We start from the raw sequence: 3,850 nt of genomic DNA, 5'->3' as shown, positions 1-3,850 counted from the left end.
AAGAATATCTGGAACTCAAAGACTTGTTCTCCCACTGGCCTTGAAGAAGGAGGCTTCCATCACTTATTCAGCTTCAAGGAAATAATTTTTTTCCAACAAACTGAGAGAGTCTGGAAGTGAATCTTTCCAGATGAGAAGGCAGCCCAGTCCAATCTTGTGGAGCTCTGAACTTATGCCCATACTCCTGACCCAAGCAATAGGTCAGGAGACCTATTTTAAGCCTCTAAGTTTGTGGTGATTTGTTATGAAGCAATAGAAAACTGATAACACCATTCCATTCCATGCTGTCCACTGTGAATAGGAAAAGGAGAAACTTATTTCCCATTGCAGGTCAGAAGTAGGGGAGCCATGATTCCTAGATTCTGCAAAAGAGGATATGTCAAGCTGATGGCAGGTGTATGTTATACCTAGGAATATACAGATTTTTCAAAATGTGACTTTATTCATCCCAAAGATACACATTTGTGGCCAATAATCAGTTAGAGGTGGACTGAAAAACACAGATTGTTGTTTGATAATAGCTGATAGATCTTGGTTATGACATTTCATTTTCCTGACTTTCAGTTTCCTCATCTGCTTTAAACAAGAAGAAAAGGAAAAATAAGAGTGTATTATTTTCTATGGCTGCCACAACAAAACTACCTCAAATGTAGTGGCTTAAAACACACATTCATTACCTTACTTTTCTGAAAGTTAGAAGTTGTGCATGTCTCTCGCTGGGCTAAAATTGAGATGTGGGAAGGGATGTGTGCTTTCTAGAGGAAAATCAATTTCTTTACTTTTAAAAATCATTCTCCAGCTTTTAAAAGCTGCCACACTCCTTGGCTCATGGCCCCTTCCAATATCTTCAAAGCCAGCTTCAGCAGGTGGAGCCCTTTTCACATCTTATCATGCTGACCTTGCTGCCATGTTATTGTCTCTTTCTCCAACTCTCTTTTCCTTTTTAAAGAACAATCCTGCTATGTAGGGTCCACCTGGATAATCTCCCTATTTTAAAGTTGGCTGATGAACAACCTTAATTCCCCTTTGCCATGTAATCTAGCATATCACAGCTTCCAGGGATTAGGATGTAGCCTTCTTTGGGAGTGGTATTATTCCACTTACCACATCTTACAGAATTGCTATAAGAATCAAATGAGCCATTGAAAGTCAAATGCCTTGTATAGTGTCTGGTACACACTAAGGGCTTAATAAATTGTAGCAGGCATTGCTGTCTGTGGTTTCCAAATCTGATCCTCTTATTGAACTTGGGAAGTAGGCTGCATAGGTGTTATCACCCCCATTTTATAGAAGAATGTATTGCAGCTCAGAGAGGTGATAAATCTTGCCCAAGGTTACCAGCCTGCCAGCAAGTGGAAAGGTAGGCTTTTTCAGATCTGCCACAATAGATCTTGCCTTAGAATTCTGGGGCAGGATGAAAGCAAAGTCCTGAATGACAAAGCAGTTTCTGGCTTTTAAGAAATGACTTCAAAGCCCCCAGTCGTGCCTCTCGGCCGGGCTGTGCCAAAGCTCTAATGGAAGGCATTAGTCAAATTGGAAACAGGCTGTTCTCATTAACCACAGAGGAAAACCCCATTTCACGCCCAGATGGAAAGCATCCCGCTGCTATCATCGAGCCTTGCTCCTCTTGCCTGCAGTCTCTCTGGGATTTATTCCCCGACCCTTACCTCTGGGCATTCACGGAAGACCCCACTGAGGATGTACAGCCTGAGTTTGGGAGGCACTCGGGCCATCACATGGGACTGAGCGTCCGATCCTCCATGCGCCATTCTGTGCTAACGGCAAGTTCTTGGAAGGGTTTGGAGTGTGGGCGACATGCTCACAGCGGGGCTGCAGGAACTGGGGTTTGCTGACAGCGGGATAAGTGGAGGCACCCCACTACAGTAGACACTGGGAAAGAGAAGAGAAGACAGAATCATGAAGTTTTTCACCAAATACTTCCTGAGTGCCATCTTGGGAGCTGAGCACTGGGGATGTAGAGATATTGAGACCCTGTCTTGGCCCTTAAGGAACTCACAGTCCAGTGTCCATCCAGGGCAGACAGATCTCTGTACCTAAGAAAGCCTGTGGAGGCCAGCCATCAGCTTTCCTCTTAGAGGTTATGGGGTGGTGGGTGCAAGGAAGGCAAGAAAGCACACTGGATTTATATCCAAACAATAGGTTTCAGTATCATTCTGTCATTTGAATCTCTAAACTCTGCGTGCCTGAAATGGCAATGACAGCAAGTCCCTGCAACCCTAGGTAAATGTGATGGCTGATGAGAGGGTGTGTTCCATCTTTCCAGAACCTATCTCCACTGAATTCTCTGTTGTATTCCTAGTCCCTGGAGCAGTGCCTTGCATGTTTTTCAAATGACGGAATAAAAGGAACTCCTGTGCAAACAATAACACGCTCATCAAATGCAAAGAATTTCCTAAATTTTAAAAGAAAAACTATGCACAAATTTGCATAGATAGTTCACTCTATCATTACTGAAAGCAATAAAATGTGGAAAAAACTTAATAATGATTAAATAAAAACAGGCATATACACTTGAGATATTTTGCAGGCAATTACAATTATGTTAAAAAATCTAGGCAAAGATGGAGAAAACATTTATCTTAAAAAGTAAAGAGAATAAAATGTAAATGTTAAATCTTATATACCATATTATCACTGCTGGGTAAAAAAAATTCTACAGAGTTTCTTGTCAAAATTTATAAAGAGGAAAATAAAAAGCTAAAGGAAAACATATTAAAATGTTAACAGAGTATGTTTCTGGCTGGTAAGTGAGTAATTTTATTTTCTTCTTCCTGCTTTGATGTAATTTCCAAATCTCATTAAATGAATATATATTACTTTTGGAATGGAACAAATAATGAACCCATTAAAATCATTGCAATGTTTCTTATTATGGCGTGTACAGTGAATATTTTCTTTATGCTCAGCTAACTAGGTGTTCTTATGCTCTGACTCATTGAAGATTGTACCTCCTTTACCAAGAAAATAAATTATAGACTCAACCAGTCAACCCATTAGCGTTTAGAATTCTAATCACTAGCATTTATTTGTCATTGAACAATAGCAGTTCGACATATTATCTCATTTGAGTCACAATTTCCTGCGGGGTTAGCCTTCTTTCAGTACCATAACTACTTTATTTTTGAGTTTTTCTTGTGTCCTCTCTGTACCAGGCATTGTTTGTAAGGGATTATTTTTATTCTGATAACAAACATGTGAGTAGAAAACAGAACTGATGCTCAAGAAAGTGACAGTGTCAAAATCATGAAGCTAACTGCAGGGTGCTGATATGGTTTGGCTGCGTCCCCACCCAAATCTCCACTTGAATTGTATCTCCCAGAATTCCCACGTGTTGTGGGAGGATCCAGGGGGAGGTAATTGAATCATGGGGGCTGGTCTTTCCCACGCTATTCTCGTTATAGTGAATAAGTCTCACGAGGTCTGATGGGTTTATCAGGGGTTTCCGCTTTTGCTTCCTCCTCATTCTCTCTTGCCACTGCCATATGAGAAGTGCCTTTCACTCTCTGCCATGACTGTGAGAACTTCCCCAGCCACGTGGAACTGTAAGCCCAGTTAAACCTCTTTCTTTTGTAAATTACCCAGTCTCTGGTATGTCTTTATCAGCAGCATGAAAACGGACTAATACACGTGCAGAACCAGGATTTGAACATAAACCTTTTGTCATCATTCATTCATTCATTCATTCATCCATCATTCATCTGTAAATAATGCATTTTCCCATATTTTAAAGGGCCGAATGTGTATCATGCTGAGAACTGTGTGAATTATATGAAATACCCAAGGAGATGGACTTGGTGAAGTGTCACCTCCCATCACTGTGAGCCTCTCT

At 40.9% G+C, this 3,850-nt stretch overlaps 1 annotated feature.

Annotated features, from left to right (window-relative positions):
• Positions 969-2,168: an enhancer, noted in NCBI's record as "CDK7 strongly-dependent group 2 enhancer chr8:139555607-139556806 (GRCh37/hg19 assembly coordinates)". NCBI's record gives its function as "activates an origin of replication core promoter dependent on BRD2, BRD4, P300/CBP, MED14 and CDK7 cofactors, with strong dependence on CDK7, by STARR-seq in HCT116 cells {active_cell/tissue: HCT116}" and the evidence as "EXISTENCE:reporter gene assay evidence [ECO:0000049][PMID:35650434]".

Source organism: Homo sapiens, chromosome 8 (genome assembly GCF_000001405.40).
Source record: "Homo sapiens chromosome 8, GRCh38.p14 Primary Assembly".
Lineage (NCBI taxonomy): Eukaryota > Metazoa > Chordata > Mammalia > Primates > Hominidae > Homo > Homo sapiens.
The sequence above is the reverse complement of the archived record's forward strand: the minus strand, read 5'-3'. Positions and strand labels throughout refer to the sequence as shown.